General features: G+C 39.6%; 1 annotated feature.

The window, feature by feature from the left end:
• Positions 1,940 to 2,234: an enhancer, noted in NCBI's record as "tiled region #12497; K562 Activating DNase matched - State 5:Enh". NCBI's record gives its function as "activates a minimal TATA promoter and a strong SV40 promoter by Sharpr-MPRA in K562 cells {active_cell/tissue: K562}" and the evidence as "EXISTENCE:reporter gene assay evidence [ECO:0000049][PMID:27701403]".

Here is a 19,253-nt window from a genome sequence, read left to right as displayed (position 1 = left end):
TAAACTATATTTTAGGATAAATGAAAGATGCCTTGTAACAGTGAAATGATCGTATTTATTTCAGAAAGCTAATCTTCCGCACACAAACAACATATATAAGTGGCAGAAGTAGCATGAGATTTGAAAACCACATCTAAATCCAGAAGCTTAGTAACTACTATACTTTTAAAAAATATATTTGTAATGAAAAGTAATAATAACAATGATGGAAATGATAATTTATTCAGTGCTTCCTGTGTTCCAGGCACTGGGCTGTGAGTCTTGTGTGCGTTCACTTACTAGATAAGGAGACTCTGGTGGAAACTGAAGTAAACTAATTCGGTTTATTTCCCAAGGCTACACAGATTTATTAAGGGATGGTGTGGGATTTGAAAACCATATCTAAATCCAGAAACTGAGTAACTACTATACTTTAAAAAATGCTTACTATCTACCAGGCATCATGTTAAGTGCCTTATATTATCTAATCAGGATACTATTCTTATGAGATAAATATTGCTACATTCATCATACAAATGGAGAGGTCCAGAACGCATTTATAACCTGCCCAAAGTTACCTAGCCACAACTGACAAAGTTGGAATTTGAACCTAGAAATGTTTAATCCTAATATTTATACTATGTACAAATGCTAATATATACTATGCATAAATGCTAAAATATATAGCATTTATACTATGCTAAGTCCCACCATATCAACTACATTTTATGCTTTAATGTATGCATCTATTCATTCATTCACAGGCTCATGACAACACACATACACACGCATATGCACACACACCAACACAGAGGGGGTTGGGAAAGAGAGGGTGATATTAGGCATTGTTAGGTTTGAAGCTCGAGTGTCCATCTGACAGCATCTAGGGAAAATTTGTTTTCTTTGAGACTGGAAAATCTGTTTAATATGACTTTAAACTAATTATGAAGGAAGGCAGAAAAAACACTCCAGATAGATATACACATCTGGTTATTATGGTTATTATGGAGGATAATCTGAGTATCACTTTTTCACTCGCTTGCACGTGTGCACAAACACACAACACACACACGCACTCTCACACTCTGGGCCTTAGTGACTTATTTTTTATTTTATTTTATTTTTTTTGAGACGGAATCTCACTCTGTTGCCAGGCTGGAGTGCAGTAGCGCGATCTCAGCTCACTGCAAACCTCCGCCTCCCGCGTTCAAGCGATTCTCCTGCCTCAGCCTCCCTAGCAGCTGTGACTAGAGGCACAAGACACCACGCCCAGTAAATTTTTGTATTTTTAGTAGAGATGGGGTTTCACCATGTTGGCTAGGATGGTCTTGATCTCTTGACCTCGCAATCCACCCTCCTCAGTCTCCCGAAGTGCTGGGATTACAGGCATGAGCCACCGCGCCCAGCCCTTAGTGAATTTTTTCCTTTAGCTGGAGTATGCTCTCTTCTTCCCTTGGGTACTTCTTACTCCTTTTCCAAGAATCAACTTAGATATCAGTTTTACTTAGAAGCTTCCCTGGTCCCCATGACAGTCCAAATATCTCCAACCCCCGCCATGGCCTGCAGAACACCCTTTCTGCTGCCTTTCATTGCATGCAGCACACTTCATTGTAATAGGGCTTTCCTGTGGCCTTATTAGACTCTAAGCTCCATGGGTCTCCACGCTGGTTCTTCCATCAGTGGATCTTCAGCATTCAATAAAAGCTTGTTGCCAAATGAATGAAGATCTCCAAAGAAATCACAGTCTAGGTCACAAAAATAAGAGCAATAAGTGCCATAGTTCTGAACAGGGAAAAGTGGATGCACAGAAGGGGCAAAGGGCAATTTTATCTGGAGAAGGAAAGGAATAAAAAGATTTTCTAGAGGAGATGATATTTGATCTGTTGAGGGCAGATGGGACAGATGGCTCATCATAAGGAATGGGATATGACCCTGAAATACTAATGCACAGCAAAAATAAATCTCTTGGAGAATTCGTTAAAATGAAGATTCCTCGGCCAAATACCCAGGCAGTTGATTTCAGCGGAACCCTGAGTCACCATTTCTAAGAAGTCCCTCTGCTGACTCCAATGCAGATGGTCTTCAGGCCATGTTTTGAAGAAACAGGAAGGCATGAAAACACATGGCGTGTTTGAGGCCAGGCAAGAAGTTCTCTGTGGCTGGAGGTTTGTGATGCAGGGGAAGGATGTTGGATGGGATGATTTGGAAGCCCGTTGAGGCCAGATTATGAAGAGTCTTGTGGGTCATACCAAGGAATTTAAATTTTGTTCTGTAACACCGTGGGACTATTACTGATTTATAATGAGGGAAGTGATATGATCAGATATGATTTGATTGCACTGCAGACTATGACATTCACTGGTCAGAGACTGAAGATGGCATGTCCATCAAACATCTCCCCCTTGCATGGCCTCAGTGAACACGAGCAGTGTTTTTCAAACTTCTCCAAACTCCCAGACGTATTCTTGGGCTTCATAACTTTCCTATTTTTAAAAAAGATACACAACAGGGAGCCTGTACCCATAAATTTTCTATGATGATCTCTTCAGCTTGTGTTTTCATGTCAGCGTTAATGTTAGTTAGACAAATGTAATCTTTCCCCAACTCATCTCGTTGATTGCTTTATAACCAGTACTACTAGGGATTCTAGTGACTGTTTGCATTTGTGCTTCTTTCCATATGCTTGGTGAAGTGCCCTTAGGTAAGTCATATACCTCTTGTGCCTCACTCTGTTTCCTTATGTATAAAATGGGGAAATAGTGTGCCTAGGCTTTAGGGGCATTCTGAGAATTAAACATATTAGTACTGCAAATGTGAAGTGTTAGATGAGTGCATGGCACAGAGTAAGGACCATATGAGTTTTAACTGTTTTTATTGTTGCTTTATGTTAGAAGCCTCTCCTAAGCTGTGGAGCTTTGTTTTACTGCCATAGTTGCACTTCAGCAACTGCCTGATACAGCCACCAACCACTTCTAAAGTATGAGAGATATGGCCTGCTGACTGGGGCTTACTCAAGGGTTTACTTTATTACCACATCACTGCAAGGGGAGGGGGCTCTCAAAGGTATCCTAGACTTTGTAGCTCAGATTGCCAGCATAGATTTCCCTCCCTCCCTCCCTCCCTTCTTTCCTTCCTTCCTTTTCTTCTTTTCTTTTTCTTTTCCTTCTTTCTTTCCTTTCTTTCTTTTCTTTTCTTTCTTTCTTTCTTTCTTTCTTTCTTTCTTCCTTCCTTCCTTCCTTCCTTCCTTCCTTCCTTCCTTTCTTTCTTTCTTTCTTTCTTTCTTTCTTTCTTTCTTTCTTTCTTTCTTTCTTTCTTTCTTTCTCTCTCTTTCTTCCTGTGTCTCTCTCTCTCTGTTTCTCTGTTTCTTTCCTTTCTTTTTTTTCTTTATTTTTTTCTTTGAGACGGAGTCTTGCTCTGTCTCCCAGGCTGGAGTGCAGTGGCATGTTCTCGGCTTACTGGAAGCTCCACCTCCCGGGTTCACGCCATTCTCATGCCTCAGCCTCCCAAGTAGCTGGGACTACAGGTGCCCGCCACCACACCTGGCTAATTTTTGTACTTTTAGTAGAGACAGGGTTTCACCATGTTAGCCAGGGAAGTCTCGATCTCCTGACCTCGTGATCCACCTGCCTCAGCCTCCCAAAGTGCTGGGATTACAAGCATGAGCCACTGTGCCTGGCCTCTTTTCTTTTTTGAGACAGGGTCTCTTCTCTGTCACCCAGGCTGGAGTGCAGTGATGCAATCTTGGCTCACTGCAGCCTCGACCTCCTGGGCTCAAGTGATCCTCCCACCTCAGCCTCCTGAGTATCTGAGGCCACAGGTGCACATCACCATGCCTGGCTAATTTTTAATTGTTTGCAGAGACATGGTCTCGCTATATTGCCCAGGCTGGTCTTGAACTCCTGGGCTCAGGCGATCCTCCTACCTCAGCGACCCAAAGTGCTGGGATTACAGGTGTGAGCCACTGCACCTAGATAGTGTTTATACATTTCTATCTTCACCTTGCTCATATAACTAATTCCCTGGTGTCACTGCTCCAACGGGGGAGAGCAGAGAGCTTATTAGGACACCAAATTTATTACCCTCTTTGCTGTATCTGAAAACTTCAAGTGAATACTGTAAGTATCCTTTATTGCTTCTCCTTCTGTATCCCGATACAGAAGGAGTTTGTTAGCATAATCCATTTGGGAATTTGTGGTTCTGTGAGGTTGAGCATGTAGAGTTTAAGTATCATGGATTTGAGATTCTTCTCTAAAAGCATTCCTTATCTCGTATGTCCACTCTGTCTAGCCCAGTCCCTTAATGGTCATGGACTAATTAGAAGGGAACAGAAGCAGATGTATTATGTGCAACTTTTGCACCAATGTGGAAGGATAAGAAAAAGATCTTAATATTTGATAAGTCAAACACATACACAAAACCCTGGAGAATATTCTAGTCGTGTGCTACTTTAGGACCAAGATATATGTGGAGATCTCCTGGTGGCAAAAAGTCAAGACTGGCTTCTTTGTTCTATTCAACTTGCCCTGGACATGTGACTTTAGCCCTGAATTCTTGGCACTTCCCTCATGGACTACTCTCCACCTTCAGGTCAGCAGGAGCATCTCTCCTAGACCCCTTTCTTTGTTTTCCTTCACCCTGCTTTGCCTCCTCCCACACCTTGGTTTTGTTTTGTTTTGAGACAGATCTCACTCTTGTCACCCAGGCTGGAGTGCAATGATGTAATCTCGGCTCACTGCAACCTCTGCCTCCCAGGTTCAAATGATTCTCCTGCCTCAGCCTCCTGAGTAGCTGGGATTACAGGTGCCCCCACCATGCCCAGCTAATTTTTGTATTTTTAGTAGAGATGGGGTTTCACCATGTTGGCCAGGCTGGTCTCGAATTCCTGACCTCAGGTGATCCACCTGCCTCGACCTCCCAAAGTGCTGGGATTACAGGGGTGAGTCACTGCATCTGGCCCACACCTTGGTTTTGTTAATAACTTCCCGTATACCCAGAGTTGTATTTCCCGATTCTTCTGGGTAGGGCAGGACTCACTGGGGCCCTAGCTGGAGGGCTATTTTCTTGCCTGTGTGTGTTGATGTCAGTGCCCCGGCGTTGGGTACACCCTCTTCACATCACACAAGCAATACTTATTTTCAGTCACACATTGTCAGCTGGCTGAAATCTTTCCCAGTCTACCACCAAAGGCTGGATTTTTGTCACATTTCTCTTATATCCTTCTAAAATGCCCACGTTCCATAGCAAGACCTGATGGCTGGTCTACAGATACTCATTCTACATGCATAAGAACATCACTGTTTTTCTACCTCAAAGTATTATGTCAAAGGCATACAACAATCAGAGGGGAAACTCATTCTTTTTTTTTTCAATTGAGTTTTATATGAAGAGAGGTGGCTATTTTAGCCCCCTTGTAACCAAAACAGAAAATAATCAGCTGAGACTCCCATCTAAATGTCAATAAATGGGAGTCAGGAGGGGGTCACTAATGGAAAGGTCTAGGAGATCTGTCTTGTCTTTTGGCTCCACTGTCTTTTCAGCTCTGGGAGTAGAGTCTCTAGCAAGTTCTACTAAATCCCTTGGTAGCAAATTTCCCTGAAAAGGATATTTTGTTCCCCAACTGAAATGTGCTTCAGTGAAACTAGGTCCCAAGATTCCTCCCTTGATGGGAATAGGTTTCAGCTGGGAGCCCCAGGCTCGCTGGTTAACATGGGCCATAGAATTTGAAGTAGCATCTAAAAGGATCCATCGCCATAGACAGTCTGTTTAGAGCTAGACTTAGTTCTATTCCGATTCCAGAAGCTTGCTAGTTTCTATCAAATTCTGTCAGGCTGCCATTATAGGAAAGCTTTCCCTTTGAATGTCCTTATTATAGGTAGATAATGTGGAAGAAATGAGGATGGGGTTTAGGGAAGTTCCCACTCCTTAAATTTAACCCTAAGGCTGCTAATTTGACCTTAGCAGCTGAAGGTATCCTATTCTAACTTTGAATCACACAGCTCATTCCGTGTGAATAGTTTACATACCACTTATTTTTCAAGGTTTCTTTTCTACTACCATAAGTTGTGTGAAACAAATATATTGCCAATGACAAAAACAAATTCTTTTTTTAAAATTTCATTTTTAAGAAACAGAGTCTTGCTCTGTCACCCAGGCTGGAGTGCAGTGGTGAGATCATAGCTCATTGGAGCCTCAAACTCCTGGGCTCAAGTGATCCTCCTGCCTCAGCTTCCTGAGTAGCCAGGACTATAGGCACGCACCACTGTGCCCAGCTAATTAATTTTTATTTTTCTGAAATGGGGTATTGCTATGTTGCCAGGCTGGTCTCAAACTCCTGGGCTCAAGCAATCCTCCTCCCTTAGCCTCCCAAAGTGTTGGGATTACAAGCATGAGCCACTGCACCCCGTCGAAAAAAATTCTTAATATGGTCTATTTAATCCTCATGTTCTCTGAAAGAGAACATTCTTCTAAAATGCTCTGTAAAGTTTAGTGTTCTTAAAACCCTATTCAGTGCTTTTTTTCTTTTGTCCAGCCCTTATCCTTTCTTGTGGAAGGAAGAACAGACACTTTCTCCTAGCTAGCAGCATTTGGTTTTCTCTTTCCTTCCACCCTCCACATGATTCAGTTGAGGTGAATCAGCCACACCTTCTTTCCATTCCTGGTTCTCTCGATGGAGACTACTTGCCATGATGAGACCCATCTTGGGAGCCTGTGATGGATAATGCTTACAAGTGACTGAGATGATACTAATTCATATCACCGCTCCAACTGGACACTTGGCAGGATGAACTGAACAGTGCCCATGATCTATCTACCCCACAACCTTCTCCAGAAATGTCAGACTTAACAACAATGCATTGCACCTGCAGGGTGTTCTCAGCACTCAATATCAGGAGGCTTAAGCTCTCAGGCCGAATGAGGGCACATGGCCACGTACCTTTCAGAGATCTGAAAGGAAGTGACCCTCCACCACCACCTGGCATGGCCCTCCATCTGCCTGTACTTACATCTCTGTCTGTGGAACCATCATCTTCCGAGGAGGTGGCCTGGTGCTCAAGAGTGGTCATTCTTGAAGGAGGAAATGGGAGGCATCAAGGAGGGTTGAGCCTAACAACAGACAAGATTCTGCTGGCCCAGGTCTATGGCCAGAGGACTTTCTTTCTCTGGACATTTTGTCCTACATTAAGAATAGTAATAGCAGGCTGGATACAGTGGTTCACGCCTGTAATCCCAGAACTTTGGGAGTCCGAGGCGGGTGGATCACCTGAGGTCAGGAGTTTGAGACCAACATGGACAACGTGGTGAAACCCCGTCTCTACTAAAAATACAAAAATTAGCCAGGTGTGGTGGTGCATGCCTGTAATCACAGCTACTCAGGAATCTGAGACAGGAGAATCGCTTGAACTTGGGAGGCAGAGGTTGCAGTGAGCCGAGATCGTGCCACTGCATTCCAGCCTGGGCAACAGAGTAAGACCCCGTCTCAAAAAAAAAAAAAAAAGAATAGTAATAGCTAACATGGATAGTGCCTACACTGAACCAGGCCATGTTCTAAGTTCTCCACATACCTAGTAAACTCAAACCTCTTAACTCCAACACTAAAGAGAGATTTATGAGAGAGAGAAACCTCAAGTCTATAATCTCACCCAGGAATCACTTGAAAAACAATCCACCCGTTTTTTTTAAAAATTTAAATTTAAATTTTATATTTATTGATTTATTTATTTTCTGAGATGAAGTCTAGCTCTGTAGCCCAGGCTGGAGTGCAGTGGCGCGATCTCGGCTCACTGCAACCTCTGCCTCCTGTGTTCAAGCGATTCTCTTGCCTCAGCCTCCAGAGTAGCTGGGATTACAGGCGCATGCCACTGCACCCAGCTAATTTTTTTGTATTTTTAGTAGAGACGGGGTTTCACCATGTTGGCCAGGTTGGTCTTGAACTCCTGATCTCAGGTAATCCACCCACCTCGACCTCCCAAAATGCTAGGATTACAGGAGTGAGCCATCGCCCCGGCCCCATTTTTGTTTTTTAAATTTCAAATAAAAGTATGCAGGCTCTCTGGGTTGTTTTCCTTGGCATTTCTACAGGAGACTCATGTCCAAACCAGCCAAACAGTTAGCACAGTCCTGATTGGCTGAATGTGGACTCAGCGCAGCCCTAGATACCTCCCCACACCTCTCTTTCCTTAGAGTGCCCTGTGCACCTTTACCATTCCCATGTACCTACCTACATTCAGCTCTGTTTGCCACTATAGTGGAACATCTGTTACCTCTGATTTATATGGTGATATAATTTATTTTTTAAACATGAAAAAAATTATTTATGTATGTATTTATTTATTTTGTTCACCCAGCCTGGAGTGCAGTGGCGTGATCTCAGCTCACTGCAACCTCCACATCCGGTGTTCAAGTGATTCTCCTGCCTCAGCCTCCCGAGTAGCTGGGATTACAGGTGCCACCACCATGTCTGGCTAATTTTTGTATTTTTAGTAGAGATGGGGTTTCACCACAGTGGCCAGGCTGGCCTTGAACTCCTGACCTCAGGTGATCTGCCCGCCTTGGCCTCCCAAAGTGCTGGGATTACAGGTGTGAGCCACTGTCCCTGGCCATGGTGATGTAATTTAGATAAAGCAGAATATTATCAAAAACAGCTCAACAATCCCAGACAGTAACTTTTCAAAATGTAACCACAGCATGCATGTTCAATACTTCACTGCTTAAAAAAAATTCTCTTCTTCCCCATCCTTGGATGATATTACAAAAGCCCTCCTCTAATGCTTTAGAATGCTTCCTTAAAGCCCTTCTTCATACAATTCAAATAAAGACATGACAGTATACTCCAGGAAGTCATCTGTCCCTCATAGCCAGCAGTCTTGATGTCATTTTCAGCTCAGCTGGTGTTCTTCATCTACAGGACTGTTTGGCATTTGGCTGAATGAAAACAGTAATATGTTTGAGAAATGAAGCATCCATTTTCTTCCTCTGACTGGGTGGCATATAGCTTACTTCTAACAAGTCCCTTCTGTTCTGTCCCCCTTTGTCCTTATCAGCATGAGTTTCTCTGCTCGTGTGCTTCTTCATGCATACAATCTTAGATTTGTGGATGTCTATGCACACAGATACATTCCTCTTTGGTAAACAATACTAATTTGCCTGCTTCTTTTCAAGAGGCAATACTATTCCATCATTGTATCAGTTAAGATACGTTTGATACCAATTAATGGAAAATCTAACTCAAACTAGGGTAAGCAATAAAAATGATCTACTTGTTCATATAAAATAAAATCAGGAATTAGTCTGAGCCCTAGATAAGGCTTGATCTAGCAGCTCAGCAATAAAACCTGTAATTTAGCTGCTTTTTTGTTTTATCCTAAAGTGTTAAAAATGTCTTTTGACTGCTTCCACTGGCTGTGTTCACAACTAGCAGTACGATAGAATTCCTCTGTGGATTTATGGTAAAAGTAAAGAAGTTCTTTCCCTAAAGGCTTCAACACACATTTTCTTCTGTCTCAATGTCCAGGTGGGTCACACGCCCATCTCTAGGCAATCAGTTTTGGCTAGTAGATGGTGTATGCTGATTAACTTTGTCAAAAGACAAAATTACCACAAATGTAGTTTAAAGATCTATTTATGATTCTAGAGTCAGGCAAGATGTCATTCAGATCTCATTCTATAAAATAGAATGAGTGCTCTGATGGGCTGTGCAGAGGGAGTTGGCATTGTAGGAAGAAAAGGGCTGAAGAAAGCAGAAAAAGAGAACAAAAAGTGGATTGATAGAGTTAAAAGAGAAGGGGCTTCTTTATTATGTGCAGTTAAACTAGGCCCCTTCTATAAATTTTTGTTGTAAATCTTCTGTTTTCGGAGAACTGTCTTGTTTCAGGGTTCAGATTGATTACGTTGCACGTAGCACAAGTGGCTCCATTTTGGTTTGGTCTGGTCTTTCAGGGCCTTCTGAAGGAGCTCCATCTAAAATAATAACCTCCCCTAAAATTTGTTTAACAGCTTAAACTAATCAGGGCCCACCTCCGTAAATGGGAGTGAGATCAGCTTTTGCCAATCACAGAGGCTATATTGAGGAAGATACTTTCACCAGGAGGAAAAAGGGCTCGGATTCATCAAACAGTCCTACAGTGACTATATTCCTGTCATAAATCTAATCCCACTAGTACTCAGGAAAGCCTGTGAAGTCTTATTTACCAAATTTTGGAAGCTCCTGTTTCAAATGCACTTTGTATATTTCTTGTTTTATTGGCATTGGTGTGCACCGATATCTGAGGCCTTACGCACTCTTACTGGATCGCTTCTAAACTCTTGTGTGAATGACTGGGTCCTGAACCAAGTGCTTTATGTGTTTATGCATTAGAATTTCACAAAAAGCTTAGGTGCCATCAACTTCTTTTTTGCAGAGGAAAACAAAAGTTAACTAATTTGCCCAGTGTCATACACTTAGTAAGTGAACTCAAAATTTAAGCTGAGGCAGTCTCTCTTTAAAACCTGAAGTATTATGGGCCACACCATAACACCTATCATCTCTCTGATGTGCCAAGGCTTACCAAACATGCTAGGACACCAACATGCACTATTTTAGTTATACTAAAAAAGAAATGAAGAGATGGTGGTGTGCACCTGTAATCCCAGCTACTCGGGAGGCTGAGGCAGGAGAATCACTTGAACCCGGGAGGCAGACGTTGCAGTGAGCTGAGATCTTACCATTGCACTCCAGCCTGGGCAACAGAGCAAGGCTCTGTCTCAAAAAAAGAAAAAGACAGTTATAACTTATCAATTGGAACTAATAATTAAGTGTTAGGAAATGACAGAGAAAATGGAACTCTTTTATCCCTGAATTCCTTTTCATCTTTTCTGTCAAGGAAGGAGATCTTTGGCCTAAAAGAGTCGTTCAAATGCTGGCAATAGAGAATAGATTTTGAAAATAGGTGAAGATATTATGGGAGAAAACCCAGCCACTTCCATGAATTTATGTCCTTTTGCTCAGATGAATTAAATGTTGGAAACTGAGAGAAGCTGTGACTGATTCAGCCTGCTGAAGCAACTACAGGGATCTATAACAACGGGAACTGCTCCTGGAGGCTAGGTACTGGCAAGAGCAGTTGAAAAAAAAAAAAAGCACTTCTAAAGATAAATAAATAAATATACCAACTGAAGAGGTTGCTGTTGATTGTGGGCAAGCTCTAAAGCAGCTCATCAAAAGCAAATTTATTAGTACTTAGAAAAAGAAACAGGATTTTCACATAAAAATAGCAGACAGCGCCCAGCACCTTGTTGCCATTTTTATACAAAAGGTAACATTCTCTACCTGATGATCTGCATTTTGCTTTGTTGTTGTTGCTTTGTTTACTGTTGCAATACTATATTTTGGAGATATTTCCCTCTGGTGTGTAGACAGTGTCTTCATTTTTTCCCTCAGCCACCTGAATTCCCTTGTATGCATATACATATTTTATTTAATCAATCCCCTATTGACTGATACTTTTATATACTCTCGACTTTACAAACCGAGCCACAATGAATACCTTTGCATATATGTGATTTTACAAATATTCAAGTACTTCTTTAGAAATACTTAGAAATTATACTTTAGAAGTATAACTTCCCAGAAATGGTAAGATGTATCAAAAGGATATATATATCTGTAATTTTAAAACTTAATGCCAAATAAACTTCCATAGACATGGTACTAATTTATAATTTCACCACAAATGTATGATATTCCTTATATACCCATATCCTTATCATACAGATTCTTACCAAACTAGGGGACTTTTGAAAAAATAATAGGTAAACATAGTCTTTCAGTGAGTTTTAATGTGCATTTATTTATTTATTTTTGTGAGACAGGGTATCACTTTGTTGCCCGTGCTGGAGTATGGTGATGCAAGCACAGCTCACTGCAGCCTCGACCTCCTGGGCTCAAGCAATCCTCCCATCTCAGCCTCCTGAGTAGCTGGGACTATAGGCATGTGCCACCATGCCTAGCTGATTTTTTAATTTTTTTTTTCTTTTTTGGTGAGATGGAGTCTTGCTCTTGTTGTCCAGGCTTGAGTGCAGTGGTGTGATCTCAGCTCACTGCAACCTCCGCCTCTTGGGTTCAAGCAATTCTCCTGCCTCAGCCTCCCAAGTAGCTGGGATTACAGGAGCCCACCACCACACGCGGCTAATTTTTGTATTTTTAGTAGAGACAGGGTTTCACCATGTTGACCAGGCTGGTCTCAAACTTCTGACCTCAGGTGATCCACCCGACTTGGCCTCCCAATGTGCTGGGATTACAGGCGTAAGCTACCACGCCTGGCCTGATTTTTAAATTTTCTATAGAGACGGGTCTCACTGTGTTGTCCAGGCTGGTCTTGAACTCCTGAACTCAAGGGATCCTCTTAGCCTCAGCCTCCTAAAGTGTTGGGATTAAAGACATAAGCCACCACAATCAGCCTTACTTTGCATTTATTTTATCATCTTTGAGTTTAAGAACCAGTAGAATTTTCTTTCCAATGGACTGTCTGTTCATATCCCTTCTCCATTTATTTTTCTGTTGGGTTATCAATCTTTGCAGCTTGATTTTATTTATCAGAGCAATTAACTTTTTAATAGTGACATTTATTTTTCTTCAATTTCTTGTGTGTATTTTGATTTTGATTATGGTATCTCTTATGCAGAAATTATTTTTTAATGAAATAAGATATATCAACATTTTGTTTTTGGCTTCTGGATTTTTGAGTTATGTTTGGAAAAGCAATTGTTTTTGAAATTATGAAAGAAATCCAATATTTCGTTCTATTACTTTTATAGTTTAATTTTCACATTTAATATTTTGATTTATATAGATTTATTTCCTGATGGATGGAGTGATAAATGAATCTAACTTTTTCCCTGCGTAGAAGTGTACCCATTTTTTTTAACATCATTTATTGGAAGGTCTGCCTTTTTCTGAGTCATTTGAGAGACTATCCTTATCATATACTTAATTTCTCTTTTGCAGGTTCTATTTTTGTGCATTCTATTTGTTTAATTTGCCTTTCTGTTTATTCATGCACAATTGCTATATTGTTTTATTTATGAAGGCAATATAACATGTTTTATTAATAACACGTGGTAAATCTATTTCTCCCTCATTTTTTTTATTTTTCAGAATTTTTCTTTTATAGCTGCCTAGAATTTCCTTGTATGGATATACTTAATTTGTTTAACAAATCCCTTATTGATGCACACTTGCTTATAGTCTTTGAATTTTACAAACAATGCTGCATATATGTGATTTTACAAATTCAAATATTTAAGTAAATAATAATGAAATAAACAAATACAATGCTTTGTGGTTTTTTTCTTGTGGAATTTAGATTCACCTTGAAGAGTTAAAAAATATTGGTGTTTCATTGAGATTTCTCTAAGTTTATAAATGAACTTATGGAGAACTGACATTTGTGATGTTGACCCTTTGTTAAAGAAAAATCTGAGGCACAGTGATTTTATTTTATTTTATTTATTTATTTTATTGAAACAGGTTCTTGCCCTGTCACCGAATAATGCAGTGGTTATCAAAGCTCATAACAGCCTCAAACTCCTGGGCTCAAGCAATCCTCCACCACATCCTCCTGAGTATCTGGGACTACAGGTGTGTACCACAAAGACCAGCTAAAATATTTTAAAGAGTTTATTTGAGTTAGAAGCCATTTATGAATTAGAGAACACCAGACCAAAAAAGGTTTAGCGTTCTGATAACAAATTGTCAGGGGCAACTATTTGCAGGATAAATGTGGAAGCAAAATAAGTTATTTGATTGGTTTCAGTTATACGATTGCCTGATTTGTTTTATCACCTTGGAAGGTCCTCAGTTATATAATTATTACTTTTTGGCTACTTCTCATAGATTGAGCTTAAATTCTGTTTTTGCTTAACATAGACATTTATAAGAAATAGCTCAATTTAAATTTTGCATAGGTTTGCAAATCAAGCTAAGTTGATGTCACTTAGAGGCCTAATTGGTTTTGTCTGCTCAGGAATTCTTCTGGTTTGGTCTCCCTTTTAATTTAATGCTTTTTAATCCCAAAGCAGGGAATACCTTTCCATTTATTTTTGTCTCTGTCTTTCATAAGTGTTTTCTTCTTATGAGACATACACATTTTTAATCAAGCTTATTCCTAAGTATTTTATTATTCTTGTTGCTATTTTAGTAGGGTGTTTCTTTCATTGTATCCTCTAAGTGGTAGTTGTTTATATATGAAAAGTGCCTGATTTTTACATTTTACTTATGTACTCAGCTTCCTTGTTAAATTATTTTATTGTTTTTAGTTTTCCAATCTATTCTCTTGGGATTCCTAATAATTCAATCATATCATCAGCAAGCAGTGATAGTTCCCTCTCCTCTGCAATGTTTATACCTCTCATTTCTTTAATTGCACTGGGGGGTACTTCCAGAACAATATTAAATAGTAGTGGTTAAGGACAACCTAACAAGTGGGATAGATGGGATATTCCCATCTATTCATAGTATTCACATATCTTATTCATATAGATAATAGATAGGATATTCCCATCTATTTATATTATTCACATATCTTATTCATATAGATAATAGATAGGATATTCCCATCTATTTATATTATTCACATATCTTATTTATATAGATAATAGATGGGATATTCCCATCTCTTCATATTATTCATATTATCTTATTCCTATTTTAGTATGTTTTATCAAGAATGAGTGTGAAATTTTATAAAAATGTATTTTAATGACTGTAGAGATATTTATATAAGTTTTGTCCTTAGGTCTAATTACATAGATAATTATATTAATAAATTTCATAATATTAAAATACTCTTGCATTTGTATAATAAACTTCTTTTCGAGACTTTTTTCTTTGCTGATGGGATGAATTCCAGTTTTTAACATTTTACTTTAGATTTTTACATTACTATTCGTTAGTGGGATGAATTTGTAGTCCCTCCCTCCCTTTCTTTGTTCTTTCCTTTTAAAATCTTTTCTAGTTCTGATTTCAATTTTGCTTTCTCAAAAATAATCGGAAAGTTTTCCTTCTTATTCTATGTAATACCACATATTCATTCATTCTTTAAAATTTTGGTGGAACCATCTGAGTCTTATGCTTTTTGTGGGGGAGTTAGTGTTTTTTTTTGAGACGGAGTTTTGCTCTTGTTGACCAGGCTGGAGTGCAATGGCATGATCTCAGCTTACTGCAATCTCTGCTTCCCTGGTTCAAGCGATTCTCCTGCTTCAGCCTCCTGAGTAGCTGGGAATACAGGCATGTGCCACCATGCCCTGCTAATTTTGTATTTTTAGTAGAGACGGGGTTTCCCCATGTTGGTCAGGCTGGTCTTGAACTCCCGACCTCAGGTGATCTGCCCGCCTCGGCCTCTCAAAGTGCTGGGATTACAGGTGTGAGCCACCGTGCCCAGCCGGGAGTTAGTTTAACTTTATTTCCTTCTGAAATAATTTTTACTTTCTGAAATTTATTGATTTTTTTTTTTGAGGACAATATTTAGTCAATTTTCCTGAAAGTTTCATGAGCTCTGTAAAGGAAGATGCATTCTCTATTTTCAGCAGTGTTCAAATATAATATTTATATATACCTTATTAATTATGTTATTTAGACCTGTGTACTTCTGTCTGTCCATTTGATCTCTTACGTACTGAGAGAGTAAAATTAAAATTTACTAATAGTTATTTCTATTTCCCCTGCATCTTCTATGCTTTTTGCTATGTATATATTGATACCATGTTATTTGGTTCATATTGGTTTTTAACTTTTAAAATTATATACTCTCTATATGTTTTAAATATATATGTTATATATATATGCACACAGTGAGAAAGAGAAATGCACTAATCATATGTGTACAGTTTGATGAATTATTTCATCAAATGCACACACCTGAGTAACCACCATCAAAATAAATAATAGAATATTACCAGACAGTGCTTGGCTTTCCAAAGTATTCCTTTTTTTTTACATCAAGGTTTAGTAACTTTACTGGGTAGGATATGTCTCAGTGTTTTGGGCCAATATTCTTTGGCACATGGTGAACTCTTCAAATGTTATATCAGGGATGTTTACTTGAAACATATCTTTTATATTGGCTCCATTTTCTTTCTTTTTTTTATTTTTATTTTTATTTTTTGAGAGGGAGTCTCACGCTGTCGCCCATGCTGGAGTGCAGTGGCGCCATCTCGGCTCCTCGGCTCACTGCAAGCTCTACCTCCCAGTTTCACACCATTTTCCTACCTCAGCCTCCAGAGTAGCTGGGACTACAGGCTCCTGCCACCACGCCTGGCTAATTTTTTGTATTTTTAGTAGAGACGGGGTTTCACCGTGTTAACCAGGATGGTCTCAATCTCCTGACCTCGTGATCCGCCCACCTTGGCCTCCCAAAGTCCTGGGATTACAGGTGTGAGCCACTGTGCCTGGCCTATTGGCTCCATTTTCTTATTCTGTTCTTTTACTTTTGGAAATACAATTATGTATGGGTTGGATCTCTTACTGCCTTCTTTTTCTGTTTCTTAATTTATTTTTTTTTAATAGAGACAGCGTCTTACTATGTTGCCCAGGCTGGTCTCGAACTCCTGGGCTTAAGCAATCCTCCTGCCTCTGCCTCCCAAAGTGCTGGATTACAGGCGTCAGCCACCTCACCCAGCTCTTGCTTTTCTAATAAATTAGAAAAAAATATTATTTTTTTCTAATTTATTTTAGCTCTTTGTTTCCATCTTATTCTGCTCATTTTTTCCATTTCTATCTTCTTTGCCTCTTGTTGTGTTTTCTATATATATACACAATTGTGTGTGTGTATATATATACACACATATATATTTATATATACAATTGTGTGTGTGTGTGTGTGTGTGTGTATATATATATATATATATATTTTTTTTTTTTTTTTTTTTTTTTTTTTTTTTGAGATGCAGTCTTGTTCTGTTGCCCAGGCTGGAGTGCAGTGGCACGATCTCAGCTCACTGCAGCCTTCTGTGTATATATATATATATATATTATATGGCGATTCTCCTGCCTCAGCCTCCTGGGTAGCTGGGATTACAGGCATATGACACCACACCTGGCTAATTTTTGTATTTTTTGTATTTTTGTATTTTTAGTAGAGATGGGGCTTCACCATGTTGGCCAGGCTGGTCTCGAACTCCTGACCTCAGGTGATCCGCCCGCCTTGGCCTCCCAAAGTGCTGGGATTACAGGCGTGAGCCACCGTGCCTAGACTTTTCTGTATATTCTTCAACCCTCTGCTTTTCTTTTGATTTTGCCTTCACTTCCATTATATTTTTTCCTTCTACTTATTTCCTGACATTTCTCAGGTTTCTTTTCCTTCTGTTGTTTTTGTCATTTCTTTTTTCAAGTTTTTCATTTTTTCCTTAAGACCTTCTTTCATTAAGGAATTGACTCGTTAAGCTTTTGGTACAATTCATAGTGAAATATATGATCATAACTTTCATCTGCAGTTGATTTTTTGTTGTAAATGCTCTCTTAGTTTCTAAGTTTTGCTGCCGTTTTCCTCCTCTATATCTTAACAGTATCTTCATATCATTCCTTTGCTAGTTTGTTTTTAATTCATACATTATTGACTCACTGCGGTTTTCCCTGGATCTGCCGTGTATATTAGAGTATGTGAGAAGGGGCATGCATATTGTTCCAGGCCAGCTGGTTATCACAGCCCAAAGATTCTGTGATGCACCATTGCTGCGACTTTTGGTGACAACTGAATTTCAGAATTCAATGCTAGGACAGGAAATTATGTTACATTTTGATAGGGGCAGAAAACTGAAAAGGCTTTTGTTCTTCTTTCCTCTGCTTTCTTAGCACACTGTCTTGAGGTATGGAAAAACATGTTTGGTCTCTGTGGGCTGCACATACAGATGTCTGTGTGTGCATGTGCTTTTCACCATGTAATAGCAGGACAGAAAAGGCAGTAGAACTATGCCAGTATTTGGCTGGTTATTTCCTTTTTACCAATTTTAAAGAAGCACATAGACTTTTGGTTATGCTTAAAAGGTCATGGAGACAAAGTCAATAACAGACAAATCTTAATTTCCCCTCCCCTCTCAGTTTATATCTCAATGGTTACAAAACCTAAGATGGGCACACTGAACTTTGAAGTTTTTGAAGTAACATATAGTCCTCACACGTAAATAATCATATGTGGCTAGAAGTGAATAAAAATACAGAATAGATGGCTGTATTGATTTTTGCCCTAAATAGTGATAAAATGACTGTATTTGATTTTTATGGAATATACTATTTGAGTGATCCAATTTAAATTCAGTGCCTTTAGTTATGATGCGTTTATGCTGTAATCACAGAATTCAGGGTTCCAATTCAATTTTTTTCTCATTAAATTTCACAAGGGGCCAGGCGCAGTGGCTCAGGCCTGTAATCCCAACACTTTTGGAGGCCAAGGCTGGTGGATCACCTGAGGTCAGGAGTTCAAGACCAGCCTGGCCAACATGGTGAAACCCTGTCTCTACCAAAAATACAAAAAATTAGTTAGGCATCGTGGCCGGCACCTGTAATCCCAGCTACTTGGGAGTCTGAGGCAGTAGAATTACTTGAACCCAGGAGATGGAGGTTGCAGTGAGCTGAGGTCATGCCATTGCACTCTAGCCTGGGCAACAAGCACAAGACTCCATCAAAAAAAAAAAAATCACATAGAAGCCAAAACAAAATTATCTGCTTACTTAAAACAATAGCTTTTCAAATTTAAGAAATATTTTTCGACTAATACATTATATAAGTCAAGTATTTTTATGTGAGATTGCATTAATTATAAAACATTATACTAAATGGCTTAGGACCACAAATACAAAAAAGTAGTGTCTCTTCCTTCCTTTTTTTTTTTTTTCGAGATGGAGTCTTGCTCTGTTGCCCAGGCTGGAGTGCAGTGGCATGATCTCGGCTCACTGCAAGCTCCACCTCCCGGATTCACACCATTCTCCTGCCTCAGCCTCCCAAGTAGCTGGGACTACAGGTGCCCGCCACCACGTCCAGCTAATTTTTTTGTATTTTTAGTGGAGACGGGGTTTCACCGTGTTAGCCAGGATGGTCTCGATCTCCTGACCTTGTGATCCGCCTGCCTCAGCCTCCCAAAGTGCTGGGATTACAGGTGTGAGCCACCGCGCCCAGCGTCTCTTCCTTCTTGAGCTCATAATTTACTAGGGATGATAAATACATCTAAAAATAATTTGGATAAAGTGTAGGTATGAATAAATGAGAAATTAATTCTGACTAGAGAATCAGAGAAGACTTTTGTTTT

The sequence above is a fragment of the Homo sapiens genome, chromosome 3 (assembly GCF_000001405.40).
Source record: "Homo sapiens chromosome 3, GRCh38.p14 Primary Assembly".
In the NCBI taxonomy this organism is placed as follows: Eukaryota; Metazoa; Chordata; class Mammalia; order Primates; family Hominidae; genus Homo; species Homo sapiens.
Note: the sequence above shows the minus strand (reverse complement) of the source record. Positions and strands in the feature narration are given on the sequence as shown.